The sequence below is a fragment of the Homo sapiens genome, chromosome 14 (assembly GCF_000001405.40).
Source record: "Homo sapiens chromosome 14, GRCh38.p14 Primary Assembly".
Lineage (NCBI taxonomy): Eukaryota > Metazoa > Chordata > Mammalia > Primates > Hominidae > Homo > Homo sapiens.
Window position 1 is genome coordinate 36516227 of NC_000014.9, and position 19083 is coordinate 36535309.

General features: G+C 48.8%; 1 protein-coding gene, 3 long non-coding RNA genes and 1 pseudogene across 6 annotated transcripts in view, besides 5 other annotated features; 2 read left to right on the plus strand and 3 right to left on the minus strand.

The window, feature by feature from the left end:
* SFTA3 (surfactant associated 3) overlaps positions 1-3330 on the minus strand; it is a 46269-nt gene extending 42939 nt beyond the window's left edge. For both annotated transcript variants that reach the window (NR_161364.1, NR_161365.1), the window contains exon 1: positions 3242-3330. This is a non-coding gene — a long non-coding RNA (surfactant associated 3). The remainder of the gene's footprint in view (positions 1-3241) is intronic.
* Positions 171-4006, minus strand: NKX2-1 (NK2 homeobox 1). Of its 2 annotated transcripts, NM_001079668.3 has the most exons (3): positions 3827-4006; positions 2759-3144; positions 171-1794 (listed from the first exon to the last, which is right to left on the minus strand). In NM_001079668.3, exons 1-3 carry the CDS (start codon positions 3901-3903, stop codon positions 1052-1054), a joined length of 1206 nt encoding a protein of 401 aa, NP_001073136.1. In that variant the 5' UTR covers positions 3904-4006; the 3' UTR covers positions 171-1051. The 2 variants fall into 2 exon arrangements, with proteins under 2 accessions (NP_001073136.1, NP_003308.1); NM_003317.4 differs by lacking the exon at positions 3827-4006 and having other exon boundaries at positions 2759-3330.
* Positions 1265-2263: an enhancer, noted in NCBI's record as "H3K27ac-H3K4me1 hESC enhancer chr14:36986696-36987694 (GRCh37/hg19 assembly coordinates)". NCBI's record gives its function as "activates a minimal SCP1, AML or CMV promoter by ChIP-STARR-seq in naive H9 embryonic stem cells {active_cell/tissue: H9 hESC(naive)}" and the evidence as "EXISTENCE:reporter gene assay evidence [ECO:0000049][PMID:30033119]".
* Positions 3052-6790, plus strand: NKX2-1-AS1 (NKX2-1 antisense RNA 1). Its single transcript, NR_103710.1, has 2 exons — positions 3052-3453; positions 5418-6790. It is a non-coding gene; the product is annotated as an NKX2-1 antisense RNA 1 (long non-coding RNA).
* Positions 3422-4421: an enhancer, noted in NCBI's record as "H3K4me1 hESC enhancer chr14:36988853-36989852 (GRCh37/hg19 assembly coordinates)". NCBI's record gives its function as "activates a minimal SCP1, AML or CMV promoter by ChIP-STARR-seq in naive H9 embryonic stem cells {active_cell/tissue: H9 hESC(naive)}" and the evidence as "EXISTENCE:reporter gene assay evidence [ECO:0000049][PMID:30033119]".
* Positions 4422-5421: an enhancer, noted in NCBI's record as "H3K4me1 hESC enhancer chr14:36989853-36990852 (GRCh37/hg19 assembly coordinates)". NCBI's record gives its function as "activates a minimal SCP1, AML or CMV promoter by ChIP-STARR-seq in naive H9 embryonic stem cells {active_cell/tissue: H9 hESC(naive)}" and the evidence as "EXISTENCE:reporter gene assay evidence [ECO:0000049][PMID:30033119]".
* Positions 5422-6421: an enhancer, noted in NCBI's record as "H3K4me1 hESC enhancer chr14:36990853-36991852 (GRCh37/hg19 assembly coordinates)". NCBI's record gives its function as "activates a minimal SCP1, AML or CMV promoter by ChIP-STARR-seq in naive H9 embryonic stem cells {active_cell/tissue: H9 hESC(naive)}" and the evidence as "EXISTENCE:reporter gene assay evidence [ECO:0000049][PMID:30033119]".
* Positions 8463-19083, plus strand: part of LOC105370453 (uncharacterized) — a 47558-nt gene continuing 36937 nt past the window's right edge. The window contains exon 1 of the long non-coding RNA XR_001750715.2: positions 8463-8982. This is a non-coding gene — a long non-coding RNA (uncharacterized LOC105370453). The remainder of the gene's footprint in view (positions 8983-19083) is intronic.
* Positions 8640-9578: an enhancer, noted in NCBI's record as "H3K4me1 hESC enhancer chr14:36994071-36995009 (GRCh37/hg19 assembly coordinates)". NCBI's record gives its function as "activates a minimal SCP1, AML or CMV promoter by ChIP-STARR-seq in primed H9 embryonic stem cells {active_cell/tissue: H9 hESC(primed)}" and the evidence as "EXISTENCE:reporter gene assay evidence [ECO:0000049][PMID:30033119]".
* On the minus strand, positions 17601-18127 carry PHKBP2 (phosphorylase kinase regulatory subunit beta pseudogene 2; annotated as a pseudogene).

Genomic DNA, 19083 nt, shown 5'->3' on the forward strand with positions numbered 1-19083 from the left:
CTGTGGGGCAAGGACTCTGGGCCTGGCCTCCTTACCTCCTTAACCGGTTCAGAATCCTTTGAGCTCAAACCCAAACAATTTGAATCTCATCAGACCAAAGACAAGATCCTCCCAAGCCCCCGCCCCTCAAAGCCATTTAAAGCCAAATCAAAACAAAACAAAAAGGAGGGTTTTAATCAGAAAAAGAATCTTTTTAATTTGTATAATTTATTAGAAGCTTCTTAGGAACTATATTTAAGCCAAATATCTACATAAGTTACAACAGAAAAAGACTGACGCCGCAAATACCAAACTGCCAAATAATATACACAGATTTGTCAATGCCCATAAAAAATGTGAAGGGCTGGGGACTGGGAGTGGTTTTTCTTTTTACAACAAAATGTACAGATTACTAAAAACTAGGCATTTAGTCCAACTTTTGACAGCGTTTTACAGCTACAAGTTCACATTAAACAAACTATTTTCGCGGAGGGCGGTCGCCGCTGAGCCTAGGCGGCCAGAGGGTGCCGGGGAGGGGGCACTTCCTTTGTGTCAGTGACAAGTGGGTTATGTTGAAGACTCTTTCCTCTCCCCAGCTCCCGTCCTCCCTTCAAAAAAAAAAAAAAATCCTGGTATTTACAAGCGAGTCCTCTTTGCTGGCAGAGTGTGCCCAGAGTGAAGTTTGGTCTTTAGAGTCCAGAGCCATGTCAGCACAGAGCCCTCTCCAATCTGTGCCCCGCCCTAGCGTGGAAAACCCATTTGAATCACCAAAAAAAGACACCCCAAAGCTGTTTTATGCCCTTCTCTGCTTAAAGATTCCTTGAGATTGGATGCGCTTGGTTGTTTTTCATTTTCTTTTTTTAAAAAAAAAAACCCACAAATTTTAGGGGGGGAAAAAAAGAAAGACGTCCAGCAGTTTGGCCTTTGTGGTTTTTTTGTTCCTTGGTCTAAACGCGGCCAGGTTGTTAAGAAAAGTCGAAGCGCGTGGAGCAGCGGTGGATGGTGGTCTGTGTGGCGGGCAGGAGGGAAGCGGTGAGGCAGAGCGCTGGGCTAGGGCCGGCCCGGCGTCCTCTCACCAGGTCCGACCGTATAGCAAGGTGGAGCAGGACATGGTGCCGTAGTCCGAGCCCGAGGAGTTCAGGTGGGACAGGCTGGATACCTGGCCCTGCAGCGCCGCGGGGCTGGCGGCGTGGTGCGCCAGGTCCGGAGACTGGCCTGCGCTGCCTGGCTGGTGGCCCGGGTGTGCGCCAAGGCCGGCGCCACCGCTGCCCACGGAGATGGCCGCTGCCGCCGCCTGCGCGGCCTGCGCCTGGTGCTGCGCCTGCTGCTGCGCGTGGCCTTGTAGGCTGGCGGCGCCCGGCGCGGGGGCACCCGCCTGGCACGGTTTGCCGTCTTTCACCAGGACCGGCACCGCCACGCGTCGCGGCGACTGCTGCTGAGCCTGTTGCTGCTGCGGGCACCCGGTGCCCCCGCCGCCCCCGCCGCCGCCGCTGTCCTGCTGCAGTTGCTGCTGCGCCGCCTTGTCCTTGGCCTGGCGCTTCATTTTGTAGCGGTGGTTCTGGAACCAGATCTTGACCTGCGTGGGCGTCAGGTGGATCATGCTGGCCAGGTGCTCGCGCTCCGGCGCCGACAGGTACTTCTGTTGCTTGAAGCGTCGCTCCAGCTCGTACACCTGCGCCTGCGAGAAGAGCACCCGGCGCTTCCTGCGCGGCGCGCTTGGCAGCGGGGCCATGTTCTTGCTCACGTCCCCCAGCGAGCCCAGGCCGCCCATGCCGCTCATGTTCATGCCGCTCGCCGGGCCCATGAAGCGGGAGACTGTAAGCGACAAACGCACAGCGTCGGCCGGGGCCAGGCCGAGCCAGGCCACCCCTGTTTTCCGCGCCATTGGCCCGCCCGGCCCGCCCCAACCGACGGCGCCCTCCTGACCCAGGCAGCCTAGCGCTGGGGCCCAAGAGGCCCATCCGCGGGGAACTGCCAGCGCCTGCCCCAGGCCGTACCGTCGAGGGGGCTGTACTGGAGCGCTCACAGCCCCAACCCTGGCTGCCCTCCCTCAGTCTCAGTTCCCTCTTTCGAACCAAAAGACGCAGTGGGGGAAAGGCCGCTTCTGCTCCTTTCGTGCCCAGCCCGGGTCAGAGCATTAGGATTAGCTGGCCACAGGCGGCGAACTGGGCTCAGGCCGGGAGCTGGGGTCCTACGGTAGACCCCAGTTTGGAGAGGTTAGGAGAGGGGGTGTTGACTTCCAAAAGCTGGAGCCCCCAGACGCTTTGCCTCTTGGCTTCTCTCCTGTCAGGCCCCAGTGAGGGCACCTGCTCGGACCCTTAGAGTCCCCTCTGGAACTGCGAGTCCTCCCACCTGCCCAGACTCCGCTGGAGAGAGGGCCGGGCCGGGCGCTCGAGTGCCTCCCAACAGGGCAGCCTCCCTCCTGGCCCGGTCTAGCCTCTCCGCGCTCTGCTCGCCCCTGCTCCTTGAGCTCGGGGTCGCTTCCCTTGGCTCCCCGAGGTCTTCTGCGCCGAGCAGAGCTGCCAGTCCACCGCGCCTAGGAGACGCCGAGTACCCGCATCTGACCGCAGGACCCCAGCGCTACCAAGTGCCTGTTCTTGGACCCCCAGCCGAGCAGGGGGAAGCATCCCCAGCTCCCGCACCCAAGTCCCTGGCGCCGCTGCCGGGCCGCCCTCCCTGATGCCCAGCGCGCAGCCTGCCGGCGCCGCGCCTTCTGGACGGCTCTCGCCGCACCTCCTGAGCTCAGCCCGCGGCCCCGCAGTGGGGCGGCCTCACTTACTGGCGGGGAAGCGCGGGTCTGGGTTGGCGCCGTACCATCCGGGGCCAGAGGCGCTGTTCCTCATGGTGTCCTGGTACGGCGGCAGCTCGCTCATGTTGCCCAGGTTGCCGTTGCAGTAGCCCCCCACGGCGGAGTGCGAGAGCTGGGGCACCCCCGCCGCCGTCATGTGGTAGGCGGCGGTGACGGCGCCGTGGTGCCCCACGGCGTGCTGCTGCATGGCCGCTGTTGGCGGTGCCGCCTGGCCCTGCCTGTACGCCGCCAGCGGAGCCCCGAGGCCGCCGCCCTCCATGCCCACTTTCTTGTAGCTTTCCTCCAGGGGACTCAAGATGTCAGACACTGAGAACGGAGTCGTGTGCTTTGGACTCATCGACATGATTCGGCGGCGGCTGGAGGAGGAAGGAAGAGGAGGAAAAAAAAGGGAGAGGGGGAAGGCGAAGCCTCGCTGCTTTTTTTTTCTCCCTTTGCCAAATATTCTGGTGTTACCTTAACGCCGATCTTGTTGGATGTACACGTAACGGAGTGGACCGAGTCCTCCTTAATTGGCTTGAGTGGAGGCTCGGGGGCTGCCTCGCGTTTGTTTTAGCCCGGCGCCAGGTTTTAGGCAGCCACCAGAGGCGGGGCGTAAGCGCTAAAGCAACAAGACAATAGAAGCCTACATCTTGCCCGAGATAATTAGCTTACATGCTGATGACAAGGTAAACACCTTTAAGTTTCACTTGTCAGGATTTTTAGGTCTCAAAGAGAGAGAGAGAGAGGCAGAGACGAGACCCAAAGCATTTCCCCCCTCCCTTGGACACCCCCACCCCCATTTTTTGTGGGGTACCAGCGGAGCGCGGGGAGGAGGTGGAGGGGAGGGGAAGGAGGAGGGAACCGAGAGCGGGGAGGGCAGGAGGTGGGGTGGGGGAGTAACAGAGGAGGAGAGATGGTTGAGAGGAAGGAAGGTGAATGCTGCTTTGCAACCAACTTGCGGAGTTACAAAGTGGAACCACTTTCCAATTCGGTCGGGGTTCCCCGGGCACGGACAGGTCTTTAGGAGGAGGGGGCTGAGGGACAGGGTGGGGGTTTCACCTGAGCCTGCCGGGGCTGCTCCTCCCTCCCGCCGCGGCCTCCCAGCCCCGCGCCTTCCCACTGCCTCCGGACCACATCGGGCTTCGCTGCGCTGAGCCCCAGTCGCCAACAAATGAGCGAGCGAGTCTGGGGACGAACCCTGGGGCCGCACTGTTGGTCTACGTGTCTGTCAGTCTGTCTGCCTCTCTTCTGCCGCCGTCAGAGGGACACCTCTGCTCCCCGCCCCCTTTCCCCCTACCGGAGAGAATCCGAGCGGGCGGAGGGGGCGCTGAGTAGGGGATCGACTGCCTCCCGGAGGCTGTCCCGGATCCCCGAGCCACAACCCGCCCCCGCAGCTCAGGGGTTTTTCAGTGGGCCACCCCCGCTAACACGCCTCCCCCAAGGTCTTCCCCCCCCCCCCCCACCCCCGGCCGAGCAAACACAGCACTGGCCCCCAGAGCTGGGAGGATGGGAAGGGGTCTCACGGGAGGGTCCGTCACTGAAGTTGCCCCACCTCGAACAAACCTGGTGTCCCTGACCCTCGCCCATCTCCCAGACACGCGGGGATCTGGGGCTGGAGCTGACTTTCCGAGGACATCACAGCCCCAGCACCCGAGCCCAGAGCCACGCTGTTTTCCCCTCTGATGCTTCAGGGAGCGCGCGAGCAGGGAGCGGCGTGAGTGCCCGTCTGTCTGTTGCCGGGCGGAACTGAGCCTGAACCCCGGCGGCTGGAGCGCTGGCCAGGAGGGGGCGAATGCCGAGGTGCGGGCAGCTCAGCGGGCGGGAGGCTGGGCCGAGGCTCGCCTCCGCCCGCAGCTCAGCCATGCAAAAGTGCTCTTGCTTCCCGGGAATAACCAAATATCTTTGTTTAAAGTGGTGGCGTAAATGGCCAGTCGCTTTGTGGCCACGCTGGATATTAGTAGATGAGGATCATTCTGCTTCAATTGGGCGCCTCTCATCCGACGAGCAAGAAACTGCTTAGGAGGAAGAGGGTTTCCTGTCTGCGCGTTCCCAGGCTTCAAGTGTGGGCCCCGCGCCTTGAGGGTCCTTGGGCGCCTGGCGAGGGGGAGCTGTGGGCTGCGCTCCCCAGCGGAATCGGGGGTGTCCCCCGCGTTGCTCCGGCCAGGCCGGGGCCTGCAGCCGAGTCGACTACCGAGTGGAGCACTGAACGGCGCGGATTTTGAGACCGACTCCGGTTTTTGTCCTTGGATTTTAAACGTTTTTATCATTGTTTTTGTTTTGCTTTCTCCTTAGCTGTTTTAGTCTCCTCTGCGCGCCAGGGGCTGGGAGGGCGGAGCGCTCCCCGGCCGGCCCCGGCAGGTGCCTCCAAGACACCCGCGCTGGTCAAGGAGCTTCTTGAATTTAGTTTTTGTTTTCACATTTTCTTTCCCCTCCTTGTAGAGAAGGAGCTCCTGATCATGACGAACAGGCAGTTTTGAGCTACTTAATTCATCCGGGCTCCCTTTTTTTATTAATAGCAATTACAGTAGAGAAAGTTTTATTTATTTTTAAAGATTTCAGCCCTCTCCTTGAAGAGAGCTCTTACTCCCTCAATACAAAGCCAACTTCTATAATAACATTCGCTTTTCTCACCGCCTACCTTCTTTACCAGGGTAAAGAAAGCTCAGGACACCCTCCGCCCTCCCACCTGCGCCCGCGTTTTTGTGCGGTCCCCACGGCAGAGCTGGGGAGGCCACCCTACGTTTGCGCAGGGAGACGCGCTCGCCGCTGGTGTTGCGAAAGACCAGAGCGAAGCCCGGCTCCTTGCCCTTCCTTCCCAGGGGCTTCTCTGGGGGGCGCTCTCAGGCCCCGACGAACTGAGCATTGATCACTGTGGTGGCTAAGCAAGGAGGGGAGGCGACGCCGGGCTTAAGCGAACCACAGAGGAGAACTGGCAACGCTGAATACAGACCTTGTCTGCAGGCGCGACCTGGCCGGGCCTGAGTCCCGAATGGGGTCTAATTGCGAAGGCGGGGTGGGTTTCCCAGTCACCCAGCTTCTTTCTCTCACTCGCCATTATTTCATAGTTGTTTGTAAGTTTAAGGAACACCAAGTGTAGAATGTTGTACATCTCTTCCAGTCTCAACGCCATTTAGAAATGGAGATCAATCTTCACAAGGTTTTTGTGAGATTCAAGTAAGATGAAGCACATCAAAATGCTTTGAAAGCTTTGAATGTTTTTCAGCTCAGTGCCAGCACTGGAGATTGCGGTAGTTATTATCATGACTATCCCCACCCCCTCTTAGGTCCCAAGACCTGAGTAAAAGGAAGAGTTGGGTGAATCTTCCACAGCCCCTAGGTCCTGTCTTCTCGGCCTTCGTCCCTTGGCAGCTTTTCAACCTCTCAGCAGGCCACAGGCGCACGTGGCTGGCAGCTCCCCGGCCTCCGGCTCTGACAGTCCGGGGGCAACCAGGCCTGCAGTTCTCGAGGAAACCCCCAGCCCCCCACGTCTCGTTCTGGACCAGGAACCCCCTCCCCAACAACCGCGCAGCAAGTGGCGACTCTGGGAGCTGAACTGGAGTGGAGCTCGAAGTGGCTGGGGCGGGCAAAGACTCCCGCTTCACTCTGGGACACAACTGGGACGGCGCTTCAACCTCTGCCTGCAGGCGTGCTTCTCGCGCGCACCAGCAAGCTCTCTATCCACCTCGCCTGGGCCTTTGCAGCGCCCTGCCGCCCAGGCTCCAGCGCCTCTACTACCCTAGCCCCTTCTCAACACGCGGCTCTGCCTTCTTCCCCAGTACCACTGCACTGCCGAAAATAAGCCCGGAGACTAACGCACCTTGTAGGGAAGAGAAGGACATCTGTATCTCCAAGCTTATCCAAGCAAAGGCCTCCAGAGTCCCTCCCATGGCCCGAAACACCTCCCTCTGACCGAAGAGCGTCCTTTCTTTCCGCCGCCTCCTGGACTCATCCTAAATAGGGCAGACCCGGGCTAAACCAGTGATTTTTTTTTCCATGAATACGAAGAACCCCGATTGCACTTTGCGAAGTCTGCGCGTATTCCTTTATCCCGCAACTAGCTTGCTCCCGGGTGGAGTGGGCACAGTGGGGAGCGGTCAGGGCAGGGCAGGGCCCAACGCTGGCCCCTCGCGGAGCTTTCCCTGGCGCGACCTCACACGGTCGCTGCCTCTATTCCGACCACGCTCTGCTTCGCTGGCTGCGGCTCCGCCAGGAATCCGAGGGGGCGCAGGCCCAGGCTCGGCCCTAGATGCGCGGAATCGCCATCAGCCTTTGCTTACACCAGCGTGGCCGCAGGGAAACTCCTTTCTCTCCCTCCAGTGTCACTTTGCGAGACAAGAACAGAGGGCTCATACAAAAGAAGGCTAATTTGGGGTCTGTAGCTTGGACCAGGTGGAACTGTGAGGAGGAACCACCTGTCTCACCGCCCCACCCCCCAACTGCTTTTTCTAACTCCCTTTGTGGTCCTCCACACCTGTTTAGGGCGCTGAGCCACTCTGTCTCCTGGTAGTGTTATTTTGCTCCAAGTTTTATCGCAATTTTTGATTCACTCGACAGTATTTATTCAGCTAGGGCTCTGTGCCAGGGACTACGCAAGGCCTGAAAATTCAAACTTAATCTAGATGCAGCTCCTACTCACACGGAACTTACACATTCACAATAAATCACCCAAATAATATGTAGTTACTTTCTGACAGATGTTACTCTAGGATCCAGTGAGATAGAGAGGGTTGTAATGGAGATTCGTGTGTGGGTTTTTGCACCATTTCTTGATCTCTCAGCATTCCAAGGTCGTGAGAGGAGTCCTTGAGTGGAAGTCCGTCCTAGGTTTGAACCCTGGCTTTGCCTTTTTCCAGCTGTGCAGTACCGCTCTTGTGGGCTCCCGCCACACCCTGGAGTCACTCCCATCACAGCCAGAGTAAACCAGTGTGTGTTTTCTGGCTTCCCTCCTTGAGGGTGAGCCCCTGTTTTATCTATCTTTGAACCCCCCAGTGCCTCGAGAAACGCTGAGGAAACACAGCCTCCGAGCACCTGTTTCCTGAGCTGTAAAAAATGGTCACAACCTGCCCTGTGTACTGGCTTGGTTTGTGCTAGGGATCCAAACAATTCAGGATGAGATCATGTGCCTGAGTTTGTAGATCACAAAAGTCGCTAATAGAAGGAGTTATTCCTTCTGATTCTGTATTTTGGATTTAGAGAAACTGTGACTCTAGGCCTCTGACCTTCAACAAGAAACACTTGGGCCCCTCAGTTGCTCCCGCAGTCTCCCACAGCTAGGCACAGGCTTCTAAGCCGGGCTGAGCTGGGCTCGCGAGTGCCATCGAGGCAACCAGGCGCAGGGAGCGGAAGGCAGGAGTGTAACTGGGCGCTGGGGGGCGCTGCTCCGCAACCCCAAGATCCGAGGAATGCCTCCGGGGGATGATTTCTCTGGAGGGGTCTCGCAGGGCCCCCTCTGCGCTGCTTTCTCAGGCACCAGAACCGAAATCCTCGGGAGGGACCGCGGGAGCCCGGGGCGTGCAGACAGGCGGCTTTCACAGACGCAGCGGGAGGAAGGATCCCTCTACTGCTCCCTTTCCCGATTTGACCGTCTAGGGCCTTTGAGAGGACTTTCCTTTTGGGAAAGCTTTTCTCAATTCGTGGCCTGTGGGCAGGCTGGGGGGTGGGGCGCCAAGTCATCCGAGCGCGGCTTCTGCTTCTCCCTTTCCCTCACAGGCATGCTCTACGGAGGGTATGGGAGGCGAGGGCGCGTCTATGAGGGCCAGAGTCCGCGAAGAGAGTCCGGCCCTTAGGCCTTTGGTGTTGAAGAATCTGCTCCTCTGTCGGGTCAAGCCCCACTAGAAGTTAACACCTGTGGTCTCCAAACTTGCCTATTTTCCTGTCACGCAGTTCAAGCCAAGATTCAACTCGTCTTGAATTTTTGTATTTAGAGCCCCTACCTTCTCCACCGACTCCAGGGGCGCCCTCTGGCGGGAAGGGGCCTGGGGTAGGAGGGAACCTGAGGGAGCGGGTTACAAAGCAGAGAACAGCGGGAGCTCAGCAGCTCCCTTTGAATTGCGAGGAAACCAAGACGGAGACGGGAGGTAGGAGCACGGGCCTGAAGCGGTCAGCCGACCCTGTGAGGCCCGCGCTGCCGTGCTACGCCGCGAATCCGCCAGACGCCCCCGTCGGAAGGGGCAGGGACACCCTCGGGGGCGCTCTAGGGTTCGTGCTGCGCTAAGGTAAGTTTCGCAGCTGCTCCTGATAATTAAAGGACAGATTCCCGAAGCATCCTTGTGGCGGCGCGGCTGTTTTCGCCCCAGGACCTGTGCAGCCTCATTCAGCTTTAGGTAGTCGAAACCTATAGCTCTTTCTGCCCTCTGTTCCCCAACAAATCTCAGTCCCAACAGTGGGAGCCCGTGGGCCTTGGGTGTTCGAGTTTCCCGCGGGCTTGCCAGCAGCGCTGGGGTTCCCTCCTCCGCTCCTTTCCTCCTCTCCAACCTCCCACCACAGCCCGTCTCCCCCACATCCCCAACACTTGTCCCAGGCAGTTTCCGGTGGCCGCAGTATCGACCCCAGGCCATTGGGGTGGGTGTGAGGGAAGGGTGGAGGGGGAATCTCCGAGGCCCAATGTTTTCTGGGACTTGAGGGAGGCTGAATTCTCCCTCGCTGCCTAGGACTTGGGGTCTGAAGGTTGCAGACCGAGGCGATCCGCAGCGCCCTCTTCCGGCGGCCGTCTGGAGAACTGCAGCTTTAGAGCGGTCTCGGGGAAGCTTTGCTACTAGTTTCCGGCTAGGGAAAACTGGTGGTGGTCGGAGACTGGTAGTACATCATCCACGCATTCGCTCATTCTAACTGTCCGCCCGACCATACGTCAGGCTGTCTATCGGTCCACCCAAAGCCAATATAAGTTATGATTGACTCTTTGAATCACCCAGTCTCCTTGCACCTGCTATTTGAAAGAGCCCAGGTGTAGATCAGGGCTTGGAAGCTGCTCTTGTACCTAAAACCCTCTTTTAATTATGCTTTGCTTCGGAATTTTGTTATGCGAATGTCCTGTCCAAGTCAGAGGGCATTTGGAGGCATATTTGGTGACCAATGGAGTAGCTTGCACTTTCTGCATGTCCTTTCTGGAGGAGGCAGTGGCCCTATTAGCTTGACAGCCTGACACAAGGGGGTTCTGCCTTGTGTTGCAGCAGTAGGAGCATAACCTTTAGAAAATATTGGAGTAGGAAAACTTCTGGGACTAGCTACACTCGATGGGTGCCTTCCAGCTCTCCAATCTACGGTACCAACTCACTCAGGCAGGCTTTCCCCCAAATTATTCCCCCTTCTTTGGACTCTGGTCAAAACCAGATCCTCTCCACCCTCCCAAACCCATCCCAGCCAATATGCCCATGTTACTCTGCTATTCTTTTTCACTTAGCCAGAAAAATCATTCTTTCCAGCCCCACAACTAAGTCATATCCTTCTCTTTAAAAATCCAATTGCCTCTTCTGACAACTAAATGCCTGACACATAGTGGGAGCTCAATATATGTGTGCAGAATAAATGGATGAATCTCTATTACACTTTTCTGTTACATTGATAAGCAATTTCTTAATTGAGTGATTTCCTAATTGCCATGTGTTTGTGTTCTTTTTAGGCAGACCGTAAGCTCCTTATTTTCTGTTTTTTGTTGTTTTGTTTTTTCCCCCCAAGACAGGGTCTCTCTCTGTTGCCCAGGCCAGAGTATAGCGGTGTAATCATAGCTCACTGCCACCTCAAACTCCTAGGCTCAAGCAATCCTCCCTGCTCGGTCTCCCAAAGTGCTGGAATTACGGGCATGAGCCATCGTGCCCGTCCAGCTCCTTGATTTTAACAGCCATCTCAAAAACACTTAGACATGTTCCTAGAAATGTGCCCAGTGCTCTGAGGCATTTGATAATGTTAATCACCCCTTTCTAAAATTCTCTCATTGGCTGCAGAGTCACCACTCTATCATGGTTCTCTTCCTCCATCTCTGGACATTTCTTCTCAGAGACTAGGGTTGAATTCCCATCCTGCACTGTATACCCATCCCCGTGGCTTCAGCTGCCACCTGTTGCTGATGGCTCCTAAATCCATACCTCTAGCCAACCTCTCTTCAGAGCTTCCAATCTATATTTTCAGTTGTTTACCTCCTTATGTGAATTTCTGCCAAACAACATATCCAAATCTGAACTTACACTGTCCCAATTTGCTTCTTGTCCTGTGTTCTTGATCTAGGTGAATGGCATGAACATCTCCCAATTCCTGCCACCCCACTCCTTCACCAAGCTCCTGTGCTAGTCAGTTCTGTCTGCCATAACAAAACACCACAGACCGGGTGGCTTACACAATGAAAATTGGTTTTCTTACAGTTCTGGAGGCTGCAACGTCCAATATCAAAGCCTAGCAGGATTTATTTGCTGGTGAGGGCACTCTTAACTGGCTTGCAGAGAGACGCCTTCTCCATATGTCTTTGCATAGCAAAGAGAGATCTTTTTCTATATAAGCCACAGTCCTAATAGATTAGAGCCCCACCCTTATGACTTCTTTTAACCTTAATAACCTTCTGCTAGGGTTTGCATGTGTGCCATCCAAAATTCCAGTGTTGCCAATGCGATAGTATTAAGAGGTGCAGCCTTTAAGATGTGATTAGGTCATGAGGGATCCTCCTTCCTTAATGAGATTAAGGATCTTATAAAAGAGGCTTCACGAAACATTTGGCTAGCTTGCAGTCTTGCTCTTCTCCCATGTGAGGACACAGTGTTCCTCCCTACAAGGCCCTTACCAGGTACCAGCGTCTTGACCTTGGACTTCCGAGCCTCCAGAACTGTGAGAAATAAATTTCTGTCGTTTTTAAACTACTCAGTTTCAGCTACTCTGTTATATCAGCACAAATGGACTAAGATACCTTCTAAAGATCCTATCTCCAGATAGAGTAACACTGGGGGAGGGGGGGTTAGGACTTCAACATCTGAATTTTAGGGGAACACAATTCAATGCCTGCTCAGAAGCCAAATACCTCGATATCAACCTTTTCCTCTCCCTCATCCAACTGGTCATAAAGTCATTTCCATTCCACATCTTAGATGTTTCCCAAATCCAGCCCCACTTCTTCCTCACCAGTTCTCTCCATTCACTGCCTCAACCGAGGCCATCCATCATCTAATACCTAATTGTCTAGTTCTTATTCCTACCCTAGGCTCTCCCAGTCTAGTCCACAATCCTGTCCACAGGACATAGTCCAACCTATCTCTCCAAACTAATTTCTTCCTGCCTCCCTGCCTACCCCCTCATAACCTACTTTTTAGCTACTCTAAACTTCTCACTTTTTTCATTTTGTACAACTTTATTAAAGTATAACTGAGAGAGAGAGTGAGAGGGAGTTGTTGTGTGTTTTTTTGTTTTGTTTTGTTTTGTTTTTTGAGATGCAGTCTTGCTTTGTCACCCAGACTGGAGTACAGTGACCAGATCATAAGTCCCTGCAGCCTTGAACTACTGGGCTCAAGAGATCCTCCTTCCCCAGCCTCCTGAATGGTGGGACTACAGGTGCACACAACCATGCACAGTCCAGTTTAAAATTTTTTTTTTTTGTAGAGACAGGGTCTCACTATGTTGTTCAGGCTGGTTTCAAACTTCTAGCCTCAAGCAATCCTCCCACCTCAGCCTCCTAAAGCACTGGGATTACACGTGTGAATTACTGTGCCCAGCTTGATTTTCTATATTGTTTTTCTGTTTTTCATTTCAATGATTTCTGGTCTCATTTCTGTTTCTTTTATTCTACTAACATTGTGTTTAATTTGCTCTTCTTTTTCTAGTTTCTTAACATATAAGCTGAGGTCATTGATTTGAGGCTACACTAGCTTCCTATGGCTGTTGTAACAAATTACCACAAACTCAGAGGCTTAAAGATCAGGAATGTATTCTCTCACAGTTATGGGAGCTAGAAGTCTGAAATCAAGGTGTCCGCAGATTGTACTCTCTCCAGAGGCTCTGGGGAGATTCTGTTCCTTGCTTCTTCCAGCTTCTGGAGGCTTTTGGCATTCATTGGCTTGTGACACATTTCTCCAATCTGTCTCCATTTCCACATGGCCTTCTTTGTATGTGTTTCTCTTTGTCTCTTATAAAGATGCTGTGATGACACTGAAGTTCCACTCAGATAATCCAGGGTGATCTCATCTCAAGATTCTCAATTATATCTGCAAAGACTCTTTTTCCAAATAAGGTAACATTCAAAGGTTCTAGTGATTAGGATGTGGACTTATCTTTCCAGAAGCCACAATTCAGTCCACACAGAGACCTTTCTTCTTTTCTAAACAGGCATTTACTACTCAGAATTTCCCTCTAAGCACTACTTTAGCTGCATCCCACACATTTTTATAGGTTATGTTTTCAGTTTCATTTTCAAGTCAGTGAAAACATGTTCAAATTCCCCTTTTGATGCCTTCTTTGACTCTTGAGTTATAGAGACTTATGTTCTTTAATTTCTAAATGGTGGTTTTCTAGAGATCTTGCTGCTATTGGTTGCTAATTTGATTCTGTTGTGATCAAGGTACTTGGTATGACAGGAATCCTTTCAAATTTATTGAGGCTTGTTTAATGGCCCAGAAAATGATCTGTCTTGGTGGATGTATATGCACATTTGAAAGGAATGCTTGCTCTGCTGTTGTTGAGTGGAGTGTGTATAAATGTCAATTCGGTCAACTTGTTCCATAGTGTTATTCAAGTCTTCCATGCCCTTCTTGTTATTCTGTCTACTTATTGAGAGAGACATGTTGAAATCTTCATCTATAATTGTGAGTTTCACTATTCTCCTTATAGTTCTATCAGCTTTTGCTTCATGTATTTTGAAGATCTGTTACTAGGTTCATAAACACTTAGGATTGTTATGTCCTCTTGAATTCAATATTTTATCATTATGAAATGATCTCTTTTTTATCTCTGCTAATATTCCATGTTCTGAAGTCTTTTTCTGATTATTTAGACCAGTTTCATTTAATATGGTTATTGATATGTTGAGTTTAAATATACTATCTTGCTGTTTGTGTTCTATTTGAGACTTCAACTATGTCTTCCTTTTCCTCTTTTTATGCCTTTTTTTGGGGTATTGAGTGTTTTCTACAATTTCATTATATCTCCTTTTTTGCATATTAGCAAAACATTTTCATGTGTTGTTTTAGTGGTTGCTTTGAGATTTAATTTAGCATCACAGTCTACTTTCAAATTATACTATACCACCTCATGTATAATAGAAGATCCTTACAACTGCACACTTTTATTATTTTCTCTTCTGGTTTTTGTGCTATTGTCTTATATTTTACTTCTAAATATATCCACAATAAATGTTTATTATTTTTGTCTTACACAGTCAGTAATCTTTTAAAGAGATGTAAATAGTAAAAAAAATTCTTTTATATTTCACACATAGTTACTATTTCTGGTGCTCTTCACTCCTTTGTGTAGGTTCATATTTCCATCTAGTATTATTTTCTTACAAAGAATTTCTTTTCAACATTTCTTATAGTACTGGTGTGATGTTGATTAATTCTTTCAGCTTTGCCTGTCTTTATTTCATCCTCATTTTGCAAAGATATTTTCATTAGGTATAGAATTATAGGTTCACAATGTTTCTGGGTTTTCTACCCCCAGCACTTTGAAGATGTTGTCCCAGTGTTTTCTGGCTGAAATTGTTTCCAGGGACAGCACAAAAGTGTGGAGCACTGGGAGGGCTTCACCTCTACCTCAACAGTCTTCACAAACTCTCTCTAATCTCTGATATGGAAAATTAATTTTTAGTAGGTTGTGTAAGTGAAGTTTTATAGCCCTGCTTCCCATCTGCCTAAATGGCACACAAGATTGTTTTCCATCGCCATATCCTCACTGTACATGGAAATTCTGGAACTCCCACCAATTGCTTCCAGAGCAGCGGCACATGTCAGAGTTAGACATTCTATCATCCCAATTTTGAGCCCTTTCCAGGATATAACTGCCATTATTAAATGGTTATTTTTTCTTACCTAAGACTTTTTAAAATGATCCATGAAGATGTACTCTTTTGAGGATGCAAGGAGAGAATTACAGCATATGTTTTTAAGAGGTTACCTTGTGCTTAATTGAAGTTATTCATTAAAGTCTTACAAACTATGTCTTAGGAGAACATAGAATTTCAGACCAATAGTAAGAAATGCATTAGCCTGGGCCTTTTGAGACCAAAGCTTGGGGAACACTCTTAGATAAAGGAATAGTCTTGGCTGGACCCTTCCTTCTGGCAAGATACATTCCAGGCATTTTGGCATTCATATTACAAGAGAAAGGTAATATATTCCCTATTTTTATAGATGAGGAAACCGAAGCCCAGAAAGGTTAAGTAAATTGCTGAAGATCACATGGCTAGTAAGTAGTAGAACTAAGTTTTGATTGTCAACATGTCATATTCCAAACCACAAGAGGAGTCATTGCCTAAATAATCAGACCTTTAAAGAATTGTCTACCTATCCCCCATTCAACATCTTGAAATTTTATAGTTATTTTGACAGCAAGATAGTTCAAATATCTACTCATCTGCTTGGGGAGTTTCTTTGTATTACTCCCTTGTCTAGCTCCGTAGATGTCAAACTTTAATGTGGACAAAAATTATTCTATCAAAGTATAATCTCAAATTTTGTTACCATTTCATCAGTTTTCTAGGGTACTTTTGGTATTATTAAATTTTACCTTAAGGAGTGTCATATTTTAAACGTAACAACTAATTGTTATGGAACCACACTGTATTATTTCCACTATATTCAATGCTTCTCTAATTTTCAACAAATAGTTTCCAGTCCTTTTGGAAAAATGTAGTAATAAGGAAAACACTGTGGGTAAGAGTATATTTACCAAGTTTATATGACTTTATTTTAGATTTCAGGGAGTGTGATTAATGAACCTGAAGAGTTTAAATTCTTGTTCGTAGTGAGGAAGATGACTTCTCAAAAGACAAAGTTAAGCATGGAAGTTTAATCTAAGACAGCACCTGTCAAACTTTGGAGTGCATAAGTATAACCCAAAAAGCTTGTTTTAAGTGTATATTCTTGAATGGGTGTTCTGAGTCCAGTAATAAAAAGTACATTATCTGACTATGCCTTTTTCAGATAATAATGATAAACTCTGGACAATACACACACACACACACACAAACACACACACAATTATTTGAAGGCACCAGAAAGTGGTCAAAAGAAGAAAGAAACTGAAGAAGTTTCTAGTCATAAATGGAACTACTCACTGGGTAAGAATTAAACTTACAAGGATATTCTACTGAGGACAATACTCATACCACAGAGCACAGGGCAAATAGAAGGTGAGCGAAAAAATCCAGTGTTTTTTATTTGAAGTGTGAGAGGATGGAGTCAGGGGCTGAAAGAATATCTGAAAGATTAAGGTAGGGAACTCCTAGAACAGAGGAATCTAGAGACTCTAAAATGTATTTTTCACAATGGCAGATTAAAATAAAAAATTACTAGGCATGTGAAGACATAGAAGATAATTTCCAAAATCAGAAGAGAATGCAGTCAATAGAAGCAAATCTCCAGGTTTGGAATTAGCAGAAAAGTACATTTAAAGAGGTATATATATATATATATTCGAAGACAAATTAAAATATGTCAATAACTGAACAAATTGGGGAACTCTATCAGAGAAATGGAAGCTATTTTAAAAATGAATTGAAAATTCTCTAAAGAGCTATAGCGTCTGAAATGGAAAAGAAAAATCTCTGGGATGAGCTGAAAGAAGATTGGCGACAGCAGAAGAGCCAACTTGAATATAGAATTTATCCAGTCTGAGAAGCAGAAGGAATAAAAATTAAAAACAAAAACAGCCCCAGTGATCTGTGGGACAATATCAAATGATCAGAAACATAAAGCAAATTTATTTTATGCCCTATTAGATCATTAAACACGCAGAGATCGGTCGGGCGCGGTGGCTCACTCCTGTAATCCCAACACTTTGGGAGGCTGAGGCGGGCGGATCACCTGAGGTCAGGCGTTCCAGACCAGCCTGGCCAACATGGCGAAACCCTGTCTCTACTAAAAATACAAAAATTAGCCGGGCATGATGGTGCATGTCTGTAATCCCAGCTACTCGGGAGGCTGAGGCAGGAGAATCGCTTGAACTCAGGAGGCGGAGGTTGCAGTGAGCAGAGATGGCGCCATTGCACTCTAGCCTGAATGACAAGAGTGAAACTCTGTCCCAAAAAAAGAAAAAAAACATGCAGAGATGAATTTTACATTTATAAATTATTTGTATCTTTCAGTGAATATTATTATTGTTGTTCGCATGGCCATCAAAATTTTTACCTCTGAATAAAGGCATTTCTTAACATTGGATTGGTTATAGCGTGGAAGAAATTCAATCACTCCACCAATGTTGTGGCAAATACCTCAAAAGCACGATCAGTCCTATCATTTATGGCTGCCTTGGTTAAGCTTCAAGAATAAAACTTAACACACTTCTAGACAATATACCTCAAAAGAGATTCTTCTACTTGCTTCACTAGCTAACCAAACAGAAATCATTATTGCTTGGCTTGGCTTCTCCTTCCAGCAGAAAATTAATCAACACCTTTGTTAAATATGCTGTATAGATTTCTCTTTTTTCTGGGGGAGTGGGGACACTGTTGTTAAAGTAAGTCATCTCACCTTGTTTTTCAGCTTCCTTTAGTTGAATCTCATATTTTTGAAATTCATGAAATGCTTCTTTCATCAGTTTGTCTAGATCTACTTTTTGTCTTGAAAGTCCAACTAAGAATTTTGTTTTCAGTATAACGGATATAACCATTAGTAACTCCACAGCGATCTGTCTGTATCTATATATTACTAGCTAGTTAATATTTCCCAACATATCTTAAACAAGAGAAAGAAATTCATAGAAGCCAGACACTCCTCCAATTATATTCTCTTCATATATGATTGTATCTCACAGGTTGGTTGCTATGGTATTTGATTCCTAGTTACCATGATACTATTAAGTGTTTGCTGCAGAATCTGCCATGCTTGGTCACAGAACTCAGTGAAAGTTCTATTAAAAGACTTATCAATTTGATGCCTGTTCAGTCAACGTCTTCCATTTTGTTGAGGCTGGAGAACCTCCAACAGAAGTTAAGCAAAGTTCAGTAGGTATTAAGCTGGGTCCTGCTTAAACTGGTGGACTTTATCAACCTGATGCATGCAACAGAAAGGAACAACTCTCATACATTTTAAAGCTGGGCTCATGGGTCCTTCCTGGTCATCATTAATGAGCCTTTATGTGAAAGTTAAAGCCCAAGCCCTAGAAGCACAGTATAGGTTGTACTTTATCTTGATATTCTGGTCAGCATCACATGATTTAATGGGAAAAAGACCTGTGGTTGGACTTTGAAACTGCAGCAATGTTGAGTTGACAGTTATTTCAAAATGATCCAGTTTATTCCACACAGTGTTTAATTATCAGATCTTGGAAGATTAATTATTTTAAGAGACTCGTAAACTGAGATAGACCTTAAGAAATTAGATAAAGAGGATATAACTCCATCAAGTGAGCTGGCAATGCCAAATTAGTGAATCTAATCATAAGCATCACAAGCTAAACTTAATGGTTGGCCTGGAAAGTCTCTGTTCCAGAAACCTCCAAGGTCACTTTGGACGTGAATACCACACTCCTACCATTGTACTCAGTTTACTGCCTTGACATTTGATTCTTATTTAATTTTTTTTTTTTTTATAGATGGAATCTCACCATGTTGCCAAGGCTGGTCTTGAACTCCTGTTGTTTTTCAACTTCCTTTAGTTGAATCTCATATTTTTGAAATTCATGAAAAATGAATTTCATGAATTCATGTTTTAATTCATTTCACTCAAGTGATCCTCCTGCCTCAGCTTCCTGAGTAACTGAGACTACAGGCATGTGTCACCATTCCAGGCCACTTGGTTCCTTTTATAGTTTCTATTTCTTCATTTATTACAAGCATATTTTCCTTTATGTCCTTTGAGCATAGTTATAATGCAGCTTTAAAATTCTTGTTTGCTAAATTTAACATCTGGATCATCTTGGGGTTGGTATCAATTGTGTATGGGTCTCATTTTCCTTTTTCTTCATATTTCTAGTAACATTGGATTGCATCTGGTCCTTGTGAATGATTCATTGTGGAGGCTCTGTGAGTTTGCTACTGTGTGGAGTCTCTTCAGGAAAAAGCCATAAAAGAGAGATACTTCTCCAATTCCATTCTCTTCATCCAACTGCTGACTCTCTTATTCTTTTTGTTGGCTTTGAGTTATTCTCTGGGGCTTTTAGGTAGTCTTTTTATATTTTTTTCTGGAATT